General features: G+C 42.9%; 1 protein-coding gene and 1 long non-coding RNA gene across 4 annotated transcripts in view, besides 1 other annotated feature; one reads left to right on the top strand and one right to left on the bottom strand.

The window, feature by feature from the left end:
* Positions 1–228: 228 nt before the first annotated feature.
* On the top strand, positions 229–6545 carry LOC105377297 (uncharacterized). Of its 2 annotated transcripts, none has more exons than XR_938915.3 (3): positions 229–361; positions 2762–2881; positions 5140–6545. It is a non-coding gene; the product is annotated as an uncharacterized LOC105377297 (long non-coding RNA). The 2 variants fall into 2 exon arrangements; XR_938914.3 differs by having other exon boundaries at positions 2462–2881.
* Positions 18312–18411: a silencer, noted in NCBI's record as "silent region_15505". NCBI's record gives its function as "represses an Ori minimal core promoter by ATAC-STARR-seq in GM12878 lymphoblastoid cells {active_cell/tissue: GM12878}" and the evidence as "EXISTENCE:reporter gene assay evidence [ECO:0000049][PMID:35858748]".
* The window catches only part of CXCL13 (C-X-C motif chemokine ligand 13), a 100082-nt gene continuing 98031 nt past the window's right edge, over positions 25348–27398 (bottom strand). For both annotated transcript variants that reach the window (NM_006419.3, NM_001371558.1), the window contains 2 exons: positions 26488–26568; positions 25348–26194 (listed from right to left, as the gene is read on the bottom strand). In NM_006419.3, the coding sequence (NP_006410.1) occupies positions 26143–26194; positions 26488–26568 (133 nt within the window). In that variant the 3' untranslated portion in view covers positions 25348–26142. The remainder of the gene's footprint in view (positions 26195–26487; positions 26569–27398) is intronic.

Here is a 27398-nt window from a genome sequence, read left to right as displayed (position 1 = left end):
TCATTTTATTGTGCTTCACTGTGAGGAACATGGCCACACTGCAGCCAGGCAGGCACAGGCCAAGGTAAACATCCTGCATGACTCAGCAGGATTGGAGCACAGGCACACAATCCAGTGCCTTATATAATCATAGCTATGTAGACATAACATAAAGCAGCTCATCACCTGGCTCTCAGCCACTATTGTTTGTGAGGTGTATAAATATAACACTGATACTGTGAAAGAGCTGCTGAATAAAGCCGTGTCTCATCTACCTGCTGTCTCCCAAGTGTTCTTCCAGCTCCCTGCCCCTCATCAACCCACTCTCCTCAGACCTCAGCTGGGGCTTGAACCTGATAATTGGTGTAGTCATCAGGATGAGGTGAGTGGGTCTTCAGCCCCTGAGGCTCCCAGGTGGGTTATGTGACTGCAGCATGGGCTGTGGTACCTGGTGGCAGAGGTGCTGCTTGAATGGGCCCCAGTGGAAACTTGGGAGGCAGTGGATGGGTCTCCTGTGAGTGTGGAGAAGGCACTGAAGCAGCTGGAGGCACACAGCACCAAGAAGGAACGCACCTTTGCTGGCAGAGTCCAATGGGGCTTTTCCAACTGTACTGCGTGAAGTACATGCTCAGTCCTTATAGGACACGGTGCAGGTAAGGGACCTTCAGGCACAAGCTGAGCAGCTAGGGGCTCAAATTCACAGCTTGGGGCAAAACCTGGAGGTGAAGGACCTCCAGGTACAAGCTGGGCACTTAGAGGCCTAGATAAACAGCCTGGAACAGGAGTTAGCAACACCTGTCAGCACAACCTCCTGGCTGGACACTTCCGTTCAGTCTGATGCTGAGGAGGAAGCGGCTCCTCCACCGTGGGCTCGTCCCGTGATCCCGTCAGAAGGTCGAATATGGGCAGCCAATGGGACTCAGGGGAAGAGCCCAGGGACCCCTCACAGTGGTGGAACACACCTCTTATAGTGCAACTCCCAATGAGTTGCAAGAGTTAGGTAAACAGTGCCGGCAGTGTCTGGGGGAGCCCCTCCCTGCCCAGTTACTCCATATCTGGGATGAAGGAGCTGACATTTCCTGCTCTGCCTCCGAGACGGAGAAGCTGGCTTCTATCACAACTCACCCCTCCCTTCATCAGTGGCTGCAGCCGTGCCAGTGGTTAGCACAGGGGCAAGGTGACCACACTTTAATTGAGTGGCTGATGGTGGCCATACAGACTGTCTGGAATGATGCTGGAGAAATATCAGAAACAGAGTAAATGGCAATCATATACTGATTTGGTACAGATACTCTGGGAGATGGGTATGTGGCAGACTATGTTTGATCCTAATACCCAGGGTCCAGATAATGAACACTTTATCTCCCACATAATGGATGTTTTGCTGGGCTCAGCATCCCCAAATGCTTTTGGCCCCCTGGCTGCTGTCCTCACCCCATATGTGGGGTACCACACACATGAAGTGACTACTGCTATGGCAGCCCTTGGGGAGGCAGAAGGCCTTTGGCAGGACTGGGGAGTCCATGCCATAAAGAAGGGGAAGGTGTCCCCTCCACAGGTAACCACTCCACGAGATAACAAGGGGCCCCAGTGGGTGACTCGCAAGCAGATGCAGTCTGATTTACTTTCAGCTGGGGTTGCTCGAGAGAAAATTGACAGGCAACCCAATGGAATGCCCTTGGCTCTGTGGAGTCAATTGTCCCCAGAGCAAAAATTCTGGAAAATGACCAAGAGGGGGCAAAACAGTGTTGTTCAATCTAATCCTGCCCAGGCGCTGGAGCTCAAGGACTATTTGCAGTTGGGTGGAGATATGGAGCCTTTCTTGTTTGATTAGGGAAATGGCCGAGGTGCCCAACTTGGGGCAGCAGGGGGTGAAGGAGGTGGGAGTGGAGGGAGGCCACATGCGGAGTTGGCAATCCACTGGTTCCCCACTAATGTACAGCAGGTCCTAGCGCTGGTAGATACTGGTGCAGATTGCAGTCTAGTTTATAGAAACCTGGGTAAGTTTCCGGGCAAAGCTGTGTTCATTGACAGTTATGGGGGCCAGTCAGTGAAGGTGAAACCAGTGTCTCTGCATCTTGGCACTGGCCCCTTGGCTCCCTACCTATACTCTGTGTATGTCTCTCCTATATCTGAATTTTCTTGGGGTGGACATTTTGGATAGTCTGGACTTACACACCACGGCCAGATAATTCAGACTCCAAGTTTGGGTAGTAAAGCTGGTGCTGCATGGACATACACATCATCAGCCCAAGTTCTGCCACAACCCCGACGGATTACCTCCACTCATCAATATTGTTTGCCAGGGGGACATGCAGAGATAACTGAAACTATTAAGAAGTTAGAGGGGGTACAAATAGTGCACGGCACCCATAGCCCCTACACTTCCCCAGTATGGCCAGTCAGAAAGCCTAGTGGGACTTGGTGGATATGACAGTGGATTATTGGGAATGGAATAAAGTAACACCCCTTCTGCATGCAGCTGTACCCTTCATCACGAATTTGATGGACTGCTTGACAATGGAACTGGAAGAGTACCACTTTGTGGTGGACTTAGCTAATGCAGTCTTCTCCATTGACATTGCTCCAGAGAGCCAGGAGAAGTTTGTCTTCACGTGGGAAGGATGACAATGGACTTTCACCATGCTGCCACAGGGCTGTGTGCATAGCCCCACCATTTGTCCTGGTCTTGTTGCCATGGATTTAGCTGCCTGGAAATGCCCAAAAGGGGTCTGCCTGTTTCATTACATTGATGATATGTTAACCTCTGATTCTCTCACAGATTTAGAAGTGGTGGTGCCCCTCTTGTGACAGCATTTGGCAGTGTGCAGTTGGGCCATCAATAAATCCAAGGTCCAAGGGCCGGAATTGTCTGCCAAATTCTTGGGAGTTATTTGCTCAGGTAAGACAAAGATCATACCTGAGGCCATCATTGATAAGATCTAGGCATACCTCCGACCTACCACAGTGAGGCAGCTGCAGACTTTTGGGGGCCTCTTGGAGTATTGACAGGCATTTGTGCCCCATTTGGCTCAAACGATAAAACCGTTGTACCAGTTAACAAAAAAAGGGGGCTATTAGGGATTGGGATGATGAGGCTGAAACAGACTTTCTGGCCACAAGTGGGCCATTTGGCAAGCACAGACCTCACAAGTAATTGATCAGGGGCGCCCACTTGAACCTGATGTACATGGAACCACAGATGGTTTTGGTTGGGGCCCATGGCAGTGCATGGAGCACTTTAGAACACCAGTAGGCTTTTGGTCCCAGCTGTGGAAGGGAGCTGAGCTCCAGTATTCATTAAGAGAGAACTAATTAGCTGCTGCATATGCTACTCTTCAGGCCTGTGAGAGCATGATGGGACGGGCTACAGCCATCGTGTGGATGACTTACCCAATAGAGGAGTGGGTATGTTCATGGGTAATGACCCCCTGGACTGGAATGTTACAGACATTCGCTTTACAGAAGTGGGGTGCCTACTTGGAGCGGCAGAGTACAATCCCTTAGCAGCAGATTGTCCTTAGCAGCAGGTAGTCCTAATGCAAGATAAGGCCATGGGGCCTGAGGCACCCCAGACCCTGAGCCATCCCAGTTTAAGGAAGGGCATCCTGCCATTCCTGATGGGGCATGGTATACAGATGGGTCCAGCCAAGGTGCTGCTGCTGCCTGGACTGCTATAGCAGTCCAGCCCAGCACCAACACCATGTGGGTTGATACTAGGTGTGGACAAAGCAGCCAAAGGGCTGAACTCAGAGTGGTGGGGATGGTGATAACCAGGGAGGAGTCACCTATGGTACTTTGCACCAATAGCTGGGCAGTCTATTGAGGTTTAACCTTGTGGTTGACTACCTGGAAATTACAGAATTGGCTTATTTGACCCCAAATCAGCCCATTTGGGGTCAACCATGAGGCAAGACCTCTGGGAAACAGGTAATCAGAATGTGTCAAGCCATATGCCTTTGGCTACCCCTGGTAATGATGAAACAGACTCCTTGACAAAGGTCCGATGATTAGAGTCAGCACCTACACGAGATGTGTCTCCAGAGGTATGTCTCCAGATGGAGACAACTGCCCAATGTAACACAACAAGTGACAGTAGGGCAGGTGCCCTTGACCAGATGGCAATGAGATTACATTGGGCCATTGCCAAAATCGCAGGGCTACACGTATACACTGATGGCTGTAGACACGGCCATTGGCTTATTGTTCACCTACCCTTGCAGGGTGGCTGGCCAGCAACACACCATTTGAGCCCTGCAACACTTATGTGACTTATATGGCCATCCCCTGGCCATTGAAAGTGATAGTGGAACACATTTTACTGGACAGCAGGACTTATATGGCCATCCCTTGGCCATTGAAAGTGATAGTGGAACACATTTTACTGGACAGCAGGTACAACAGTGGGCACAGCAGATGGACATACAATGGGGGTTCCATGTTCCTTATAACCCACAAGCTGCTAGCATGATTGAGCAATATAATGGACTCCTGAAGAACGGGTTACATTTGCATGTTCCCCACCCCTCCTCCCCACCCATCTTTGTGGGGCTGGAGTTCCAGGTTGGACCTGGTGCTTCAAATCTTGAAAATGTGGCCATGGAAAGGTGGCCCGGCCCCGGTGGAGGCACTGTTACACCAGGCCACTGCCCCCATCCAACTACAGATACACACCAAGGATGACCTCCTCTGACCAGGTATGGGGACGAATGGTAATCTATTGTTGCCTGCCCCAATGCCTCTGAAGGCAGGGGAACAGAAAACCTGACATTGGCCATGAACCCTCCAAGCCCCCCATTGCAGATGGTTGGCTATCGTAGCCCCCTCAGGGGAGGGTCTGCAGTATGACTTACATGTTGCTCCTTGGGTATTTAATGTGTGGTCTCCAAACTAACCATTCGTAGGGGAATGACCAGAGAAGGGACCCTCCTCTGGGGGACATATGTACTGTCTATGTGGCCTATTATAAGCTCCCCTATGACTTTGCCATGGATACAAGACCCAAAAGAACCATGGGGAGCTGAGAACGTGTTGTATCATTGCCCAGGGCAGAAGCCCTTGGTAGCTGCATTGTTATCCAGGGATGAAAAGTTAGCCTGTATTCTGCCTGAAGGATGTGATTTACCCCTGTTAGTACCTGTGCCTGCTTTGTTGTTTCAGCCACAGGTTGGCATGCTCCAACAACATTGTGGACTGGGCTCACACCTATGCTGAGGTGGCCAATGTCTCCAACTGTTAGATCTGCACCACCCTTCCAGCAGCAGCTGTGGATGGCTTGCCTTGGCATGTGCATCCAGCTTTTGTGAAGAACTGGACATGGCTAGAAACTTGGGGTCCCACAGACAATGGGCGGGATGCAACATGGTGAGCTTTGGATGGGGGTGTCACAAAACCCATGGCAAGCCTGCCCCCTGGCTGACTCATAGCATCCATGATGAATGGGGCTGGCTAATGGGAGAAAACATGGTGGCCCCATTGCAAGTACCACGATGTATAGAGCAACACTGGGGTAAGGTCACTGTGGGATGGTTGCCTGCTGAGACCTGTGCAAACGTAACACATGCCACCATGCCAAGGATGTGGTGGAACAAGCAGCCCTACCAAGGCTGGGCCCCCATGGACTTTGTGCCTGCTGGGAGTTTATAGGTCTGTGGGGACATAGGATGGCCATATCTGCCAGCCAACTAGACTGGACATTGTACCTGGGAGTGGCCTTCTGTGCCTGCCACTGTGCTTCCCACATTGCTTAGTCACACACATAACTGGGAGGTGCTGTGTTCCCAGTTTTTGTGAGTGCATTGAGCCCCTAGTGGTTCTACCCCTTAGCAATAACTGTCCCTGGAACAGGTGTCATCACTGTAGAAATGCAGGTTACAGCCCTTGCAGAACACAGAGATTGGGCCCATGAATTACACCTGAGCTGCCCTCCTTTTGTTAATTGATGAGTTTGATCAGATCAGGAAGGTGGTGATGCAAAACCGGATGGCCTTAGACATAGTCACAGCTGCTCAAGGTGGCACCTGTGCCCTTGTAGGGACAGAGTGTTGTACATTCATCCCTGACAACCACCAGAACATAGTGGCAGCTTTGCAGGGGGTGTCATGTCATAGGAGATTAAGGCAATTGAATACCTTACTGATGACCGCCTGCAGAGATGGTGGGTGTCTCTGGGCTCTGGCCTACACTGGGCTCTTATAATCATAGGTAGCATAGCAGGAATATTAGTAGTAGGTTGTTGCTCTCTTTATTGTTGCTGTGGCCTCTGGGTCCAGGGTGCTCCCCTATGTGCACGAGTTCCCATTAAGAGGACCCCCTTGGCCTAGGGGGCGGAGTGTAAGGAACATGGCTGTGTTGCTGCCAGGCAGGCATAGGCCGAGGTAAAAATCCTGCATGACACAGTGGGATTAGAGCACACGCGCGCAATCCTGTGCCTGATATAATCACAGCTAGGTAGACATAACACAGAGAAGCTCATCATTTGGCTCTCAGCCACTATCATTTGTGAGGTGTACAAATGTAACACTGACACTGTGAAAGAGCTGCTGAATAAAGCCATGTCTCATCTACCTGCTCTCTCTCGAGTGTTCTTCCAGCTCCCTGCCCCCCGCCCCATCTACCCACACCCCTCTGACCTCAGCTGGGGCTTGAAACTGACATTTGCTTTATTGTACTTTGCAGATACTTAAAAAAAAAACCAAATTAAAGTTTTGTGGCAACCCTGTGTTGAGCAAGCCTATTGGTGCCATTTTGTCCTCACTTCATGTATGTCACATTTTGGTAATTCTTGCAATATTTCAATTTTTGTCATTATTATGACATCTGTTATAGTGGTCTGTGATCAATGATTTTTGATGGTACTATTGTAATACTTTGTGGTGCCACAAACTGTACCCATATAAGATGGAAAACTTAATTGATAAATGCTGTGTGTGTTCTGATTGTCCCAATGACCAGCTGTTCCCTCATCTCTCCCCTCTCTTTGGGCATCTCTACTCCCTGAGACAGAACAATATTGAAATTAGGCCAAGTAATAACCGAACAATGGTCTTTAAGTGTTTAACTGAAAGGAAGAATCACATGTTTCTCACTTTAAATCAAAAGCTAGAAATGACTAAGCTTAGTGAAGAACACATGTCAAAAGCCAAGATAGGCCGAAAGCTAGGCCTCTTGCACCAAACAGCCAAGCTGTGAATGCAAAGAAAAAGATCTCAAAGGAAATTTAAAGTGCCACTCCAATGAACAGATGAATGAAAAGAAAGTGAAACTCCCTTATTGAAATGGAGAAAGTATTAGTGGTCTGGATAGAAGATCAAACCACCTACAACATTCCCTTAAACCAAAGCCTGATCCAGAGAAAGGTCCCAACTCTCTTCAATTCTATGATGGCAGAGAGAGGTGAGGAAGCAGCAGAAGTTGGAAGCTAGCAGATGTTGGTTCATGAGGTTTAAGAAGCCTTCCCTGGAACATAAAAGTGCAAGGTGAAGCAGCAAGTGCTGATGTAGAAGCTGCAGCAAGTTTTCCAGAAGATCTAGCTAAGATAATCAATGAAGGTGGCTACAACTAAAGAACAGATTTTCAAGGTAGACAAAACAGTCTCCTATTGGAAGGAGATGCCATCTAGGACTTTCATAGCTAGAGAGGATAAATCAATACCTGACTTCAAAGCTTCAAATGACAAGCTCACCTCCTTGTTAGGGGCTAATGCAGCTGGTGACTTTAAGTTGGAGCCAATGCTTATTTGCCATTCTGGAAATTCTAGGGCCCTTAGAACTACGCTGAATCTACTCTGGCTGTTCTCTATAAATGCCTGGATGACAGCACATCTGTTTACAGCATAATTTACTGAATATTTTAAGCCCACTGTTGATGTAAAAGGAAAGCTCAGAAAAACAGAAAAAGAATCCTTTCAACATATTACTGCTGATTGACAATGCACCTAGTCACCCAAAAGCTCTGGAGGTATACAAGGAGATTAAAGTTGTTTTTATCTCCTGCTAATCTCCTGTTTTTATCTCCTGCTAATACAACATCTATCCTGCAGTCCATGGATTAAGGAGAAATTGACTTTTAAGTCTTATCATTTAAGAAATATATTTTGTAAGGCTACAGAAGCCATAGATAATGATTCTTCTGATGGATCTGGGCAAAGTAAATTGAAAATCTGGCGAGGCTACAGCATCCTAGATGCCAGTAAGACCATTTGTGATTCATGGGAGACGGCCAAAATATCAACATTTACAGGAGTTTGGAAGAAGTTGACTCCAACCCTCAAGGATGTCTTTGAGGGGTTCAAAACTTCAGTGGAGGAAGTAACTGCAGAGGTGATAGAAATAAGAGAACTAGAAATGCAGCTTGAAGATGTAACTGAATTGCTGCAACCACCTGATAAAACTTGAATGGATGAAGAGTTGCTTCTTAGAAACGAGCAAAGAAAGTGGATTCTTGAGATAGAATGTACTCTTGGTGAACACAGTTGAAATGACAACAAAGAATTTAGAATATTCCATAGATTTATTTGATAAAGTAGCAGCAGTGTGTGTGAGGACCGACTCCAATTTTGAAAATTCTACTGTGGGTAAAATGTTATCATGTTGCATCACAGGCTACAGAGAAATCTTTCATGAAAGGAAGGGTCAATGGATGCAGCAACATTATTGTTGCCACATGACAACAATGACACCTTCATGGTTGTCTCATTTTAAGAAATCGCCACAGCCATCCCAGCTTTCAGCAACCACCACCCTAATCAGTTAGCAGCCATAAACATTGAGGCAAGCAAGACCCTAACAGCAAAAAGGTTGACTCAAGGAAGGCTCAGATGATCATAAGCATTCTGTTTTGTTTTTTGTTTTTTTGAGTCGGAGACTTGCTCTGTCGCCCAGGCTGGAGTGCAGTGGCACGATCTCTTCTCACTGCAAGCTCCGCCTCCCAGGTTCACGCCATTCTCCTGCCTCAGCCTCCCGAGTAGCTGGGACTACAGGCGCCCGCTACCATGCCCGGCTAATTTTTTCTATTTTTAGTAGAGACGGGGTTTCACCGTGTTAGCCAGGATGGTCTCCGTCTCCTGACCTCGTGATCCGCCCGCCTCGGCCTCCCAAAGTGCTGGGATTACAGGCGTGAGCCACCATGCCCGGCCAATCATCAGCATTTTAAAGCTAAAGTATGTACATAGTTTTTTTAGACATATTTACAGACACATTTTTATATGCACTGGGAAACCAAAAAAATTGGGTCACTGGCTTTTATTGTAATATTTGCCTTTTTGCAGTGGTCTGGAACCAAACTTGCAGTATCTCTGAGGTATGCCTGTATATTACAAAGCTACAGTAATTAAAACAGAATGATATTGGCATAAAGACAGACACACTAACCAATAGAACATGATAGAAAGCCCCAAAATAAACCCACACATCTATAGTCAATTAATTTTCCACAAAGAGGCCAATAACTCACCACAATGAGGATAGGACAGTATTTTCAATAAATGATGTTTAGAAATCAGGACATCACATGTAGAAGATTGAAATTGGACTCTTATCTCACTCCTTATACGATAATCAACTAAAAATAGCTTAAAGATTAAATGTAAGACTTCTGTAAAATTACTAGTAGAAAACATGTGTAAAAACTGTATAACATTGGTCTGTGCAATGATTTCTTGCATATGACCCCAAAAGCACAGGCAACAAAAGCAAAAATAGAAAAATGGGATTGCATCAAACTATAAAGCTTCTAAAAAAACAGTGAAAAGACAACCCATGAACTGGGAGAAAATATTTGCAAATCATACATCAGATAAAGGGTTCATATCAAAAATATATAAGGAACTCCAGCTACCCAAAAACAAAAAAAAAAACTATTAAAAAATGGGCAAAGACTGGGCATAGCGGCTTGTGCCTGTAATCCCAACAGTTTGGGAGGCCAAGGTGGGAGGATGGCTTTAGGCTAGGAGTTCAAGAACAGCCCAGGCAACGAAGTGAGACCCTGTCTCTACCAAAAGAAAAAAAAAAATTGCCAGATGTGGTGGCACACACCTGTAGTACCAGCTAGTTGGGATGCTGAGGCGGGAGGATGTCTTGAGCCCAGGAGGTTGAGGCTACACTGAGCTATAACGTCACTGCTCTGTAACTCCAGCCTGGGTGACAGAGCAAGACCCTGTCTCAAAAAAAGGTGGGGAGGGGGCAAAGGACATGAATAGATCCTTTTTCAAAAGAAGATATACAAAAGGCCAGTAGACATATGAAAAAAAAATTACTAATAATCAGGGGAATACACATTAAAACCACAATGAGATATATAACACCTCTTATCTTAGAATGGCTCTTATCAAATAGATGAAAGATAACAAGTGTTGGTGAGAATGCGGGAAAAAAAGAAACCCTTGTATATTGTTGGTGGGAATGTAAATTAGTACAGCCATTTTGGAAAACAGTATGGAGGTTCCTCAAAAAACTAAAAATAGAATTACCATATGCACCAACAATTCCACTTCTGGGTATATATCCAAAGCAATTGAAATCTGTATATTGACGAGATGTCTGCACTCCCATGTTTATTTCAGCATTATTCATAATAGCCAAAATTTGGAAATAAACTAAGCGCCCACCAATAGACGAGTGGATTAAAAATGTGATACATATACACAATGGAATACTGTTTAGCCTTAGAAGACAACAAAATTCTGTCATTTGTGACAACATGGATGAATTTAGAGGACATTAAGCTAAGTGAAATAAGCCACCCATAGAAATACAAATATTTTATTATCTCACTTATCTGTGAAATCTAAACATTCAAACTCATAGAAGTAGAGAATAGAATGGTGGTTACCAGAGGTGAGGTGGGGGGTAGACTGGGTGGGGAAAGGGGAGAGGTTAGTCAAAGGGTACAAAGTTTCAATTAGACAGAAGGAAAATGTTCTGGTGATCTCTTACCCAGCAAGGTGACTATTAACTTTAGTTAATAACAATGCATTGTAAACTTCAAAATTGCTAAAAGAGTGAATTTTAAATGTTTTCACCAAAAAGAAATAAGTATTTAAGGTGAATAGTTTAATTGCCTGATTTGCTCATCCCACAATGTATACATGTATTGAAGCATCATTGTATCCCAGAAATACATATAATTATTATTTGTCAATAAAAATAAAATCAAAAGAAGCTTGGAGAAAGTGATGGCCCAGACTGAAAGCCATGCCAGAAATGTGTTAGTCTTGTGATCTTAGCCATGTTGTTAAATGCTGTACACCCAGGAATTTTTCCCATATTAATAAACTCTGCCTTATTTCACATTATGTCCTGTCACCCCCTTGATTTGGCACTCTTAGCATTTGCTTTCACATGTTCTCTCGTAGGCTTGCTGGCACATGTTAACTAGGTTCTGCACGTCCTTTGGGGTACGGTCCCTTTCCTCCCTTGGCAGGCCCAGCACTTGTATCGTGAGCTCACTCTTCTTACTGATCTTGTGTCTAAGAGGAGTGCTGGGGTAGAGCCCAAAGGAATGTGTTCTCTTGCAAGGCCAGGGAGAGTGCTGGCTCCAACAGTGCTATTCACTTCTGCAGGGTCAGGGGCTCCAGGGTCTGAGGATCCATTATTTAAGTGCATTAGCATAGATGTCCCCATCCCAATTTTCAGGGTCCCAATCTTTTCCAATCAGGACCCTGATCTTGCTCTGTGGCCGTGGGTAGGTTGAAAATTCAACCTTCTCTGGAGCCATGTTATGATTGTGATTAAGTCCTGAATCTGTCCTCAGATGTCCCTGCTCTTTACCAGCAGGAGAGAAGATTCTCTGACTGTGCTCAAGTAGGGCCCTGGCTTCACACCTTGTCTTAGTCTTTTCAGGCTGCAATAGCAAACTACCACAGACTGAGTGGCTTATAAACAAAAGAAATGTATCTCTCACGGTTCTGGCGGCTGGGAAATCCATGAACAAGGTACCGGCAGTTTTGGTGTCTGGAGAGGGCCCACTTCCTCATAGACGGTCACCGCAGCCTCACAGGGTGGAAGGGGCTGACGTCCTCTCTGAGATCTTTTATAAGAGCACTAATTCACTTCACAAGGGTTCTGCCCTCATGACCTAATCACCTCCCAAAGGCCTCACCTGCTAATACCATCACCTTGGGGATTGGGATTTCAACATAGGAATTTTGAGGGGACACAAACATTCAGACCATAGCACACCTAGTCTTTAATGACTAATTAGTCGTTTTGTGCCTTTTATTATCTTTTTCCATATTATCTAACTCCTCCAGCAGCAGCTTTCCAATTCTATTTTTTTCAGAATTACAATTCCCCCATATTTCTCAAATGCCTGATAAATTGCACCTGCTGGCACATTTTCTTTTACCAATTTACCATCCATCCCAGTTCACAACAGGTGAAAGTATTAACAATTGCACTACCACCTGTGTCAGGGGCCCTGCATGCTCCTTGTAGGACTAGTAATGTGGTTCTCATTGCCAGCTGTCTGGCAGGTGATTCAGATTCAGAATCCCTTTTTAACATCTGCTTTCTTGAACAACTTCTATTGCAGGCCAGGTTCCCTGGTAAGCATACCGATAGGGAGATTAGCAAACAGAAAGTTAATCTGGGAGTGTTTGTAGGATTAATACCTGTCGGTAAAGGGGAGGAAGCAGGATTAAGCAGAGGGAGAAGTTGAACATGAGACAGCCACAGCAAAGGCCTCAGTGAGGCTGCAGGAAGTTCTGAAGCTGGGATGGCTGTCAGATTTGGCCCGAGGTGAGAAGGTGGGATAGAATATTTATACCATTGCATCAACCAGCTTTGGATGCGGGCTGCTCCCAGGAAGGGTGTATAACCTTGAGCGAGGGCAATTTTCAGAGCTCCACAGCTGCTGCCAGCTGCATGGATAGCAGCTGAAAGAAAAGTGCTTCATTCCTTAAAGTGGATCTGATGGCCCAGCACAGCCTCCATCACACTGTATCACTTCCCCCCACCTTCACTGTGTTGCCTGGATCACCTCTAGCATAAAGTACTTTCACCCACATCCTTGGATCAAAGTTGGCTTCAACAGAAGCCTGAACTAAAACAGCCTCCCAGGAGGCTAAGCAGTTTTAAAGTAGACAGGTGTAATAGCAATAAGTGTAATAATTACTAATTATCACAGTGATAGGTGACACTTGCTGCATGTTTTACAGGTAGTGATTCACACCCTCATTTTCTTTACCTCTTAAGTGAGGGTGTTAGATTAGATGACTACTAAGATACCTTCCAACTCAAATGTTGTTCTACAATCTCCTTTTCTGTTCAAACTTAACTCACAACATAAGGTCCCACCTCTCATTTCTCCTGGGGCTCTGCGCCTATTGGCAAAGAATGGGGTAGGAAATATTTACAAAGATTAGCTTTGCTGTTTTATTTATTTAAAAGGCCACTCATTCTTTTAAGCAGAGACCTGGTGAAGAGCTGGGCCCCTGTGCTAAGGTTAAGGGGTTAATAGTGGTCGCTGCCTTCCCTGTTCTTCTGAGGTCCTGCAAATTTTGCAGAAGGTGAGGGAGTTGCTCTTACAGGCGGGGTGTTGGTAACAAACAAAATGCCCCCACAAATTTCCAATGAGTGACAGCATTTGGTGGCTCTGGCCTAGAGATGTGAGAAGCATCCCCTAATGTGCAGGAGAGTCAGGCGCCAGGAATAAAAATGCCCACAGTGTCCTGTTGAGAAGCCACAAGAGGCTATTCCTTGAGTCTTTCCACTTTCCACCTCCTATAAAGGAAAAGCATTATAGGTACATAAAATCATCTATTGAGGGAGGTTGTGTGAGGAGAAAAAGAAACTAGAGATAATCCAAATTGTAGATGTCTATATATGTGGACAAGACACATGCTTAGTTTTTCCATATTTAGTTCCACACATAATTAGAGGACATTATGAAGACTTGGCTCTCCCCGTGAACTTTCCCCCTCCATAAGCTTATGCATGGCTATGAGTCAGAATGTAGCAAATTGTATTTCTTCCAAAATTTCTTAAGGCAAACGAAGAGATAATCTGTAAAGTAGAAGAATCCTTTATTCAGTTCTCACTGCTTGTTTATTTTGAGTTTAAAATAATAAAGCACATTAATTGGAAAGGACAATAAACATTGATGGTGAGGGTGAAGACAGCGAAGTGAGTGTAGAGAAGCCGCTATCCTGCTCTGAGACCTGGCAAGCATCCTTCTCATAGGGTAATTTAGTTTGTTTTTACAGATCGTATCAATCTGTAAAGTCTATGTTTTAGGGAAGATCACCCAACCAGTAACAAATCCCAGCAGGATAAAAAGGGTGCTAAGATGTAGTTATGTAGTTATGTAATTGTAGATCTAGTTATGCAGAACAAGAGACAAATTTTTAGTAAAGCCTAGATCATAGTTTGGAGAACATCAGGTTGCTAAAACATTTTCTCTGTTTTTGGAATACATTTGGCCTGCAAAATCATAAATCATAAAAAATAAATCATGAAAAGTTAGATTGGAATCAGAGATTTGATATGCTCTAGAACTTGGTTTGACTTTGCACTTGTGTATTTAATTAAGAGACAATAGACGCATATTAAGATGTTCCAGACCAAGTCCCTAAATGTGAGCATTTCCATGACTGAAAGAGAACTCTTTTTACAATTGTCAGTGAATTTAAGGTCTGAAGGGAACGTGAGTATAGAAAGGATTGTTAATATTTGCTTGAGTTCAGAATTAATGTTTAGTTTTAAAGTTTAGGTTTATCAATTTTACATTTTCATCAAGCTCAGCCTACTAATCTTACTCTAATGTTTATATAATATTAATAATCACTTTTACATGCTGTTTAATCAATGTTAATGAACTCCACCCAACGAATATAACTGTCTTTAAACAATCAGACTAATTTACAAATTTGCTTTAATACATTCTTTTCAAGATTTTAGAATAAATATCTTATTTCACTTTTGCTAGTTATTTCAAATGCTTATGCAAGACAAAATTACAACCCTAACAAGTCTTCCTGACCACGTATGAAAATCTTGTTAATCAAATACATAATATCATACATTTTTCATGTTGAGTTTTCTTAAACATTCCAATATCCTTAAAATTTATATTAAACTTTTTTGCTTAAACTCACAGTTAAATTAGTGATACACTTCAAACTGAAGTCATGTTTTCCTGAGAGACCAGATTCTTTTACACTTTATAAATACATGAATTTGATTTATTCCATCATCTGTAAATTTAATTCTGAATGACCTTGGCTTGTAAAGTCACTTCCCCAAGTAAGGAGCAGTCATTTACGTGGCCAGATGCAGTGGTGGAAATGAAGTGGATGGATCCCAGAGATATTAAGGAGGTGGGGAAATGAAATCACTCTTGGTGAATGATTTAAAAAGGGAGGTTGTTGTTGGTGGGGGGGTCAAGGATGACACAACAGCTTAATTTTAATGGATGGCAATACCAACATTTGCCTGGACAGGGAGTATTTAGGGGAGGGGAGGCTGTGGGAAGGGTAGGGATGTGAGTTTTAGGACCAGATAGTGCCTTAGCAATTGTCTATATCACTTCTCACCCAAAGGTAAGGGAGTTGAGACTCATAAATGGAGTGATTTCTTTTTAAGTAAGAAACCTTTTAATAAAATAAGCTTCTTTGATGTTACAGAGCTAGAGAGTGACACCAGGTTTCTCCTAGACTCACTTCCTTTTAGTATTTCTGTCTCAGAAATGGACAGGATGAAGTGGGATCCTGCTAGACATCATTCTCCTTGTCTTGCCAGTCCTAGAACACAAAAAAGCAAATAGGAAAAGCAAATAGAAACCTGCCAGTACTGGAACACTGAGAAGTAAACAGAAAAAGCAAACTAAAAAAATTGCTTCCAAGATTTTGCTCACAACCTGAGATGATACAAGAAAAGGACTTAAAAAAAAAAAAACAAAACAAAACAAAACCTAAGCTTATCAATCAAGCAGGTACAGAATATAAACAACAAACAAGTCATCATTTTGCCTTTAGTAAGATGCCACACCAACACACCACCAACTTCCCAGGTTGGATAAGAGCACGGGGCCAGATGTCAAAATTGTAAAGCTTGTCCTAAGGTGGCAGGACACAAGGAAGCATTTTTGTTGTTAATTGATGTTGCCTTTAGCATTGCCAAAAACCCCCTCAGATTTTGGCCAAGGCTTTCCCAGTTACACAAATGACTTACATTAAATGGGCTGGATGATCTTACTAGTCCCAGGTCCACACTGAGGTTGCAGTTCTGTTTTGAGGAAACTCCGGGGTGCAAAGCCAGAGCACGTGGACAATGGAGGGTGCCAACAAAGAGTTGGGATACTTCCTCAATTTTTATCTTCCTTGGAATTTTAGCTTTTGCTAGGAAAATACCTTCGTTCTTTACTTTGTGAAAAAAGAGACTTGGAGGAGACTTCAAGTTCCCTTCCAGTCAGTGGGATTTAGAATTGGCCAGAGTTTCCAGGAATCACAGGCCTTTGTAGAAAGTGGAACTGCCCTACCTGCCTTTCACATGTGCACCACGAGTCGGGGGGACATGGCCCAAGTGGCTGGGTGGGCTCCCTGAGGAATCAGCAGGTCCACATTCAAGAGTCTCCGTAAGAAGTACTTAGAAAAAAGTCTCTCTTTCATTAATTTCATAAGGGTAGTGGGATAATAAAAACAGTATACAAATAAGGAGGTTGTAAAAATGTTTGCTTTTAACAAAGAGGGAAAAAATAATAACTCCAGAGACTTAAATCTAGGTTAGATGAATTGCGGCAACATGAATCCTGCTAACCCCAGTTTACAACCTCATTGCAATTGCAGTTTTCAGATTCTCATTAACTTCAGTGAAAAGTGCATCTGCCTCTGAGTTATCTTAGGTGGGCGAATGTGGGGAGATGCTTTCATTAAAAAAAAAAAAAAAAAGATCTGCTGGATATTTCCAAACCGGAATTCATTGAAGTTGCTCCTAGGCAGGAAATTTATAAGTTGAAATTAGTGATAAAACATACAAGAATTTCCAAAGCTAAGCAAAATGCCCAGCAAAATTAAAAATGTCCTCTGTCCTTGTGGACACCATGATTGCTTATCAGGGATGTCCACCATTCTGCACTGATAAAAAGTGACCACTGCATATGAAATAGCTCCTTAATTGAAAGCGAGAGTCACTGTGCCTTTCTTTGCTTACTGGTATTTTTAATTTCTAGGAGGTGGGAGGTAGAAAGAGCAGAACATGCAAATAAAGCAAATGGAAAGACACAAAGCTGGGGCTCGTGATTCAGGCAAGAACGCTGTGTGAACTAACCTGCCATTTGTGATAAAGTACTTTAGAAATGTCAATTTTATTACTGAATAATGGGTCTCAGCATGACTGAACTCTTGGCAATTATTTTACATCTAATTTGGGATGATGCATAAAAGAAAATCGAGCACAGATTACTTTAGCTTGGCACCTGGCAGCTGATAATGAACTGGTATAGATTGTCTTGCTCAGAACAATAAAGTCTCTATCTGCTGCTAGTTTCAGCTGACATTGGGCTGGTAGCCACATTTCTTCTATTCCTCTCTTTGGTCTGTTCTGGAGGTCATATGATAAGCTGTGTTTGCTGGTTTTAGGTTTCATCTTCCTGGGTCAGTTCTAGGGTACACTGCATTACCATGTTTGATGTTTCCACATTACACCATTCACCACTGGATGCCAGCAGAGCACTGCGGCTTGAAGTCAAAGGGTTGGACATGACCATTTCTAGAAGGCCAGTGGAATGGCATCAGAAATTGAACAATCCTAATTTCCTGGCATTTATGAATCCCAGTAATGACCCCAAGTTAGCTGATTTGAAAATGAGTTTATTCTTAGTTCCATAAGGGCTAGATGTTATTTTCATCTGAACATTTAGAATAATGAGATTCAGAGAATTGAATATGTTAGTGAATCATAGCAGAACCAAATTTTGATTCAAAATCTTCTAACTTCTACTTCTTTTCCTTCTCCTTAGCTTGGGGGAAGACCTAACTTGAAGAATGAGGGCTTACCTGTGAAAATTGATTGTATATTGTCTTTTGGCAGTGAGGAGGTAGGGAGAAATGTAAAAGACAAAATATAAGGGAAAAAAGCTTCTCAGTGTTAGTTGCATATAAATCACTGTTTCTTGTTGAAATGTAGGTTCTGATTCCGATTCTCCAATGTTGCTGGTTGGGAGGCCGTACTTTAAGAGTGAAGACCGTGGAGTCCCGAGTCTGGGCACCGATAGAAAAGAATCACCTGATTTCCTTGTCCGCAATCCCTGGGAGACACTCTTCAGGGTCTGACTGAATGGAAAAGGAAGCAGGGAATCCGGTCCAACGTTAATGTCACCGCCCTCACTGCCCTCTTCAATTTGAACATGGTATTTCTGGCAGTAGCCACCAGAGGGTGCTAAAGAACCTCCTTGAAACGGCTGCAGAGCCCTGTGAGGTTACCAGACTGTTTCCACAAGACCTGTCCTGGGCTGGTCTTGGGGTTTGTGGGGAGGACAGTTTGTTCAGGAGTGGATGAGGAACAGAAGGGCCCCGAGACCACAGGTTGTGTCAGAGACAGAGCTGAGGCCCTCGCTGGGACTACCACTCAGAGATAAGCACAAGAATCAGGCCAAGGAGGCATCATTTGGGATCCTCATTCCTCTTGCCCCCCTTTGAGGGCAAAGGGTGTTAGTATACTTAAGGATGTTGTCCACTTAATAGAGAGAAAGGGCTAGATCAGGGATTTTCCCCTGGGGCTTCCAGCCCCACTCAAGTTAAGGGATATATTGAGATATTTATTTGATCTTTAGATTTCAAAGGGAGAGGCTGTTATCCAGATTTAAAAAAAAAATGCTTGAAAATAAAATTGATTGCCTGCCATAAGATAAGCAATTTTTTCAATAGTAGAATATGTGATAAAAATACACATCTTTAGCCTTCATTAACTTTTATTAAAAATTATAACAATTCATATTTGGCATAGCCATCAGTTGTACATGTAAAGTAATAAATGAGATCATGGTATTTGGAGTCGGTCTGTGGGATTCAAATATCAGAACTGACATTCATTAGCTGGGTGATACTGGGCAAATTCATTTACCTCTCTGAACCTTAGTTTCCTCATCTAACCTCTTCTGAATGGATTTGGCCAATGATGGGAGTCAGGGGGATGGAAAGCATGAATAGGAAATTGTAAGGTGGGAGGATGTAGAGGTAGAGACACTTATTTCCTCCAAGCCCTGTTCACACTCAGTTCTGTTCATGGCTGATGACTTGCTCGATTTGATAATGAATTTAATAATGTCAGCACTCTCGGATGCACAATAGTAGTTATAAAAATGTGGTTAGGTCCTACTCTCTCCTAGATAATATGGTAAAAAAATTATTTCCGGCCGGGCGCGGTGGCTCACGCCTGTAATCCCAACACTTTGGGAGGCCTGGGCGAGTGGATCACGAGGTCAGGAGATCAAGACCATCCTGGCTAACACGGTGAAATCCCGTCTCTACAAAAAAATACAAAAAAATTAGCCGGCCGTGGTGGCGGGCGCCTGTAGTCCCAGCTACTCAGGAGGCTGAGGCAGGAGAATGGCGTGAACCTGGGAGGCGGAGCTTGCAGTGAGCCGAGATCGCGCCACTGCACTCCAGCCTGGGCGACAGAGAGAGACTCCGTATCAAAAAAAAAAAAAAAAAAAAAAAAAAAAAAAAATCCTAAATATTCCAAACAACTTACATGCTGTTACAGTGTTTAAGCTATTTAATCAGTCCAGATGAGACTTGATGGCATCTTGGCCGATGACTCATTCAATGACTATGGCTCCTGTTGGGCAATCTGTCTTCCAAACTGCAGGTCTACAACAGCCTTCCATAACGCCATTTCCTCACCTTTCTTCTTCAGGCCTCGGAGTGGCTACTGGTCCCTAAGTGCCTCAATATTCCATTAACCCTGCCCACAGCTTTGAAATAGTTTCCTTCATTGCATTCTCTTCAAAGTTCCAGTTATGCATGCCTTCTATTTCCTATTGGTACCCTAAATGATATGGCATATAAGAATTTAATAAATATCAGTCACTTTAAATTTATCTTGAGAATGCATTCATATAGATTTAGCATTTTCCAGCAATATATGCTAGTGTCATAATGTCATGACATACTTTTAGTGGAGTTTAGCTTGGGGAGCTCAATGTTATATTAAATTTCAATGACAATTATCAGTTAATTCAAACCCACCAGCATGTTCAGATGCACATGATAGTTATAAAAATGTGGTTAGCTCCTACTCTTTCCTAGCCATGTATTCTAGATAATATAGTAAAAAAAATTATTTCCTAAATATTCCAAACAAATTACGTGCTGTACAAGATGCTTTTCATTCTGCACAAGAGTTGCTTATTGAGTATGTGGGACACCATGTGGGTTGCAAAGAAATAAAAGTCTGACTTACTGTCTCCAAGAAATTTTCAATCCAGTTATGAAAATAAGACAAATATGAAAAGTTATTTTCTTGAAGTATCTTAAATAGTAACAAATGAGACCGTTATAAGATATTCATTTATTCACTCATATATTTATCCAAAAAATACTTGAACTCCCACCATGTGCCAGGCCATAATCAATGCTAAGGATCTGAGGGTGAGCAAAACCAGGCACAGTTCTGGCCCTTATGAAGTTAATATCCTAATTGGAGACGGACGACCAATAGTCACGCTAACAATGGTATTATTAGTGACTGAGGTAAGTGCTTTCGAGGAAAAGAAAGAGTTACATGACAGCTTATCACAAGGAGATTAACCTAGGCACGGAAGGCTGTCCTGAGGAAGGGACCATTGAGCTTGGAACTGGAAGAAGTGTGACATTGTCAGACTTGCATTTTGAATGGATCACCTTAGCTGCTTTATGGAGGGAAGTCAGGGGGGTGGGGGAGGGTAGCTACTTTTTAAGCTATTTAATCAGTCCAGGTGAGACTTGATGGCATCTTGGTTGGCATAGGGAGGTAGTAAAGATGGAGAGTTGTGTACGAATTAGGAAGATATTTAGGGAAACGGATCAATGATGTTTTGCTATGGATTGGATACAGAACTGGTGGTGATAGAAAATAAATTTTGAAACGAGTCCTAGTTTTCCATCTTGCATAATGAAACAAATTGTGGAGCTTTCACAGATGTAGGAAATACTGGAATTGGACCAGATTGGAATTGGATCATGAATTTTGGTCCTTGACATTGAGTTTGAGGTACCTTTGCAAAATCCAAAGTGGAAATATAGCAGAGTCATTTGGATGGAATGGGATAGAGCTCCTTCCCACCCACCCAGAAGGTGGGGGCAAGTAAGACAGATTTGTAATGTAGATACAAAGATCTTAAACAAACACATGAAAACTATTCAGCATCATTAACCATTAGAGAAATACAGATTAGGACCACAAGAGATTAAACACCCACTAAAATGTCTAAAATTTAAAAGACCGATAATACCAAGGGCTGGTGAAGATGTGAAGCAACTGGAACTCTCACATATTGCTGATGGGAATGCAAAATGGTACATTTACTTTGGAAAACAGTTTAGCAGCTTCTTATAAAGTTAAACATCCACCTGCCACATGACCCAGCATGTCCACTTGCAGGTATTAATCCAAGAGAAACCAAAACGTATGTTCCCACAAAGACTTGTAGTAAATGTTAACAGCAGTTTTAATCATAATATCCCCAAACTGGAAACAACTCAACGGTCCATCAACTGGTAAGTGAATAAACAAGTTGTTGTATGTCCATACAATGAAATAATAGTAACAACAAGGAAGAAGCTAGTAATACATTCAACAAGATGATGAATCTCAAAACCATTATGCAAAGTGAAAGCAGCCAGACAAAAGGCCGTACCATTTATAGGACAGGCTGGAAAAGGCAGAAGTATAATAACAGAACAGGGGCTGGGGCTGTTCCTGCTAACTCACTGAATTGAACACTTAGACAGGGTCAATTTTACTGTCTGTAAACTATAACTTAATTAACCTGACATAAGAAAAGCGAGCTCCCTTGATGACTTTAATATTCTGTGCTGGCTGAACTATGCGTTCCAATTTTAGAACACCGAAATCACCTGGAGGTTTTGGGAGAGGTTTTTTCCCTTTTTTTTTTTTTTGCCTCAAGTGTTTACTGACACCAACCAAATCTCCAATTCTGTGATTCTCTTACACCAACTGGGTATCCAGCAATTCAATTCAGTTATAATACTATCTGTACTTAGTGTAGACCCCACAGGTTAAAGGCTCAGTCCCACAGATGCCAGCTGCACATAGGGTGCCCAGGCTATCTTCCTTTCTGCCCAGCCAACCACAAACTTAAGGGTTCCTAGGTCACCCTCCTCAGGTTTGATAATTTGCTATAATGACTCCCAGAACCCAGGAAAGTAGTACTATTTCCAGGGTATTATAAAAGATACAACTCAGGAACAAATGGAAGAGATGCACAGGGCAGGGTGAGGAGAGAGGGGCACAGAGCTTCCTTCCATGCCTGCTCCAGCTCACCACCGCCCCCCTACCTCGATGTTCTGGAATTTCTCTGAACCTTATTGTTTGGGGGTTTTTATATCAGTTTTCATTACACAGGCATGATTGATTAAATTATTGTCCATTGGTAATAAACTCAATTTCTAGCCCCTTTCCTCTCTCTAGAGGTGGTGGGGAGGGTGGGACAAAAGGTCCAACCCTCTAATCACATGGTTGGTTCTTCTGCCTGCCAACCCCCATCCTAAGGCTATCCCAGGGCCTGCCAATAGTCACCTCATTGCCACAAACTCAGATATGGTTAAAAGGGGCTCATTGTGAATAACGAGACACTCGCATCACTCAGGGAATTCCAAGGGTTTTAGGAGCTCTGTACTAGGAACCTGGGACAAAGACCAAATATAGTTATCTCTTGGTATCTTCAGGGGATTGGTTCCAGCCCCTTCCCCAAAACCCCAGAGGACACCAACATCTGAGAATGCTCAAGTCCCTTATATAAAAGAACAGTATTTGCATATGGCCTATGCACACTCTGCTGTGTACTGTACTTTAAATCATCTTTAAATTACAATATAAATTCTATGTAAATAGTTGTTATGCTGTATTTTTAGAATGTATATTTTTAAATTATTGTATTGTTATTTTGGTGGATTTTTTTTTCCCCCTCAAAGTAAGGCCAAGGCTGAGCCCTTCTGTTGGAGAAGCAGAATCTTTTCTTCCTGGGCCTCTGCTGGTTGGGTGGATGGGTTTGAGCAGCACTATTGATGGGTTTGTTACAGGTCCCCTGCATTCTGCTACTAGGAGATCCCTGTGCTGCTTGGCCCATGCACCTCCTTCATTCAGTTTCTCAGTGTTGAACATCCTGTTTTGGCCAGCATTACCTTATATTTTCCATTCAACTCTATTTTACTTTGATTTTTGATTAACTTGTGTGTGTGTGTGTGTGTGTGTGTGTGTGTGTGTGTGTGTAGAGTCATTTATCGCATGAATACTGCACTGCCCTACTCTTCCACAAGTCTTTCTTTCCAGACCCAAACCCACTCAGATCTGCAATAGCCCGCCTTTCCTCAGACACTCCAGGAACTGGTTCACAAGTTTCCTGCATCTATGAGTTCAGCTCTCTGTCTCAGACCAGGCTGAACATCCCCAAATCCACTCCGACTTTTGAGGAATGCATGCCTGTGTGGTAAGAAAAGCGAGTTTAGAAACCCTCACTGGCCCTGCTTTTGTTTCGCTTTCCACATTGGCCCACTGCCTTCACGCCACCCACCAGCTGCCCAGATCCCCCTGGGATTGGACAACACAGGATGAACGTCTCAATCCAGCGGAAGCCTGAACGTCCTGGAGCTCCCACCCTTCCCCTGGCTTTGATTGGCCCTGAAAAGGATAGTGGCCAAAGAAGTTGAAGTAAGAAATATGTTTAGGGAAGGGAAAACTTGAGGCAGTCTAGTGAAGTGATTAACAGCATTTGCTTAGGAGTCAGATGGCCCTGGGTTTGAGTTCTGATTTGTCTTTTCTAGTTATACGATTTGGGGCAAGTACATGCCTCAGTTTCTACTGATGATACCAACCTTCTATAGAGTCAGCACAGTACAATAGTTAGGCACATGGATTCTGGTTCCGCACTGGCTGAATTTGAATGCTGGCTTGTCATTTAGTAGCTGCAGCCTTGACCTCCTGGGCTCAAGCAAGCCTCCCTCCTCAGCCTCCTGAGTAGCTGGGACTACAGGTGCACACCTCCATGCCCAGCTAGTTTTTATTTCTGTAGAGATGGAGTCTCATGAGCAAATGACTTAACCACTGTGTCCCAAGCAGGGGTGATAATAGTAGATACTTCACGAGAAATAGTGGTGTTTCTTATTTGAGACTTCTGAATATTTGTCTAACTACCAAAGGAGACCAAAATCGAATTAAAGAATGAAGTGATTCCTGATCTCTAAACACTGGAATCTGAAAAACGCTACAAGGCAGGATCTTGATGACATTTTATCAGCCCTCTATGTGTGCGTGTGTGTATTTGTAATTTAAAAGACATTGAATTGTAGACAAGAGAAAATATAGTAATTACGGGTGCTTTTAATTTTCTCCCAAGAAAGAATTTAATAACATAAAAATAAATTTAAAAATAAAAAGAAAAGTGAAAGAGGGAGTCAGAGATAGCTTAAAACCTGGGTGAACTGGGAGCAGACCCCCCAAAGCAGTTGTTAAGCAGTAGCGGGGTGGGGTGGGGAGAGGAACACACAGTGGAGCTTAGTGGTGTGGTGGGTAGGATATCCAGGCTGATGCCAGGGGCAGATAGGGACCAGAGTTCAAGTGTCTTCTTTGTCTGTTGGTCAAACTCAATGCAAAACTGTCAGATGAAACATTAGTGACTTTAAGAGTCAATATGACACAGTGAAAATGGGTTTGATAAGTGTTTGAAGTCTGGAGGAAATCACGGTTAGTATGCGGTAGGTAACACTAGGGGGAAGAGGCCCTCATAGCCAAATATTTCCCACTGTGTTAATATCAGGAATAACTTCACTCATCCTTTGCCAAATGATTTTAGATCATCTGTAAAAGGCAAATGAGATACAAAGAAAAATTAACCTCATAAAATCCTATTTTAAGAATCAGAGAATGTCTACATTTGAGTAGATGCTATATTAAGAATGAATTGCTCACAGCCTGGACAACATGGTGAAACTCCGTCTCTACAAAAGAATACAACAATTAGCTGGGTGTGGTGGTGTGTGCCTATAGTCCCAACTACTGGGGAGCCTGAAGTGGGAGAATTGCTTGAGCCCAGGAGGTTGAGGCTGCAGTGAGCTGTGATTGTGCCAGTGCACTCTAGCCTGAGCGACATAGTGAGACTCTGTCTCAAAAAAAAAAAAAAAAAAAAAGAAGAAGAAGAAGAAATTGCTCATAATTAAGTAAAATGTTTGCTCAACTTTATTGAATGTCATTAGATTTATAGGAATCATTAAAGAATTAGATACCAGAGTCCCCCCGGCCCCGCCCCCCACAAAAAAAGTCAGTGAAAAAGATGTGAGTGAAAGAAGTTTGTCAAGGCAAATGTGTGAAAGGATACATGTGTACATCACCCTTTAAATGCTTTCCCTGAGTATTCTATGAAGTCTGGGGATCTTCGAATGCTATTAATCTTAGACAGTAAATTTTATAAAGAAATTCTTTAAAAGTAGGACTTAATTCTCCTCCGTAGTGAGTTTTTAAGCAGAGGATATCTACTACATGGATTCCTTTGCCTCTTGACAGGCTCAAGTTCCATCTGCCTCCCAGGCAGCTTTTTGAGTCTTTCATAGAAGCCTGCTTTTAATATATGCCATAATTTTCTTCTTAATTCAAGCCACATGTTCAAATTTGAGGCTTAAATTCTCATTCCATTGTTTTCTAAGAAATTTTAAACATTAAACAACAAGTATATAATCAAAATAATCCTGTATTACTTATAACTGAATAACTATTTTCAAAGAAACTTTCCTCCCTGATGAATAAGAATGCAAACTCCAAGTGTATATAGGGTGCTGTGAGTGAAGAAGCTTGAGTTTGCCCCATCAGCTTCTGCAAGGTTATTTTTACATAGTCTCATGCTTATTTGTATGGGGAAGTTCTTTTTCCTGGAAAAGATTTAACTAAGCACAAAACTAAAATCCAGAGCAGGGATAAGGGAAGAATGCAGGTGTTCTTAGTGGAAATATCAGCATCAGGGAATCTTTCTCTTAAACACTGGAACTGGTAGAGTTGAAGAACTTCTTCTGTGAAGCAGAAACAAAAACAAAATTGTCATGTTTAGAGAAACACAAGAAACTGTGGCTTTCCTCTGGAGATACCGGGCAAGGACTCTTATGTATACTGGCATCTAGTTTGGTTTACTGAGCTGCTGGAATGAGCTACCCCTACTCCATCTGATAAGCAATAACAGTGAAAAACACACATTTGTCTTAGGAACTTCTCATAAATTCAAGCTAGTCCCTATTTTGACTGCCCAGGAAAGGGAAACTCTTCAGTACAAGTTGGAATCTGAAACCCCTTGTTATGCCTAACTTACTTTCTCAATACTTCCATCATTCTTTGTATCCATTCAGCTTGAGGGTCCACACACACAATTGACTTGTTCTTCTTCCAGACTCTGGGGGAAAATAAAAATTAAATAATTCAGTCTTACATTTTAGTCAATCCTATACTTTTAATAAAGAAAAGAGTTTGGTATGAAAATAATTATTCCTAGATGAAGTGAAATTGGAGCTGGGCAGTTTGGGATCTGGAATAGGTGATTTGTAGTATGGGGTCAGAGGAATAAGAGAACAACCATTTGTGGAACAGTATGTGTGAGCTGGTGGGGTTGAATCCAAAGCTGCGAGGGCCTCACATGTCAGAGGTTAGTGTTTTGTTGATAACATTTACGTGCATTGGAGAACAACCAAATAACTTACTCCAAGATTGGCTCACTTCTAAAGTTATATCACAATATCTTTAAAATGTGCTTATCTGTTGCACTGCATTTGGGAGAACAAAATAAGCTGTAGAAAACACTCTCTTGAGAACCTGAATTTCACTGAAAAAAAAAAATTCAGTGCAATTTCACATGAGACGCATGCTGCAGAGCAGATTGCTTGGAGTGACATCTGCATTTTGTCGAATTACCACTTAGCAAGATTTTTCCTGCTCTAAGATATTAAGCAATAGCAAAAGTGGCAGCAATAATTAATAGCTAATATTTATCAGGTACTTATAACACACCAGGCACTATGCTTAGCAGGTAACATGGATTATTTCAATTCATCTCACAAAAATCCTTTGCTGGAGAAATTATTACTTCCTTACCTTCTGATGATAACTTAGGCTCAGTGAATTTAAATAACTTGTTCAAGATTGCACAACAAATACATGATACAGAAGGATTCAAATGAAGATTATCTGACTCCAGAGCCCACACTTTTCTTCACTGTTTTTCATGAG

Source organism: Homo sapiens, chromosome 4 (assembly GCF_000001405.40).
Source record: "Homo sapiens chromosome 4, GRCh38.p14 Primary Assembly".
In the NCBI taxonomy this organism is placed as follows: Eukaryota; Metazoa; Chordata; class Mammalia; order Primates; family Hominidae; genus Homo; species Homo sapiens.
This window is presented reverse-complemented; position numbering and strand designations above follow the sequence as displayed.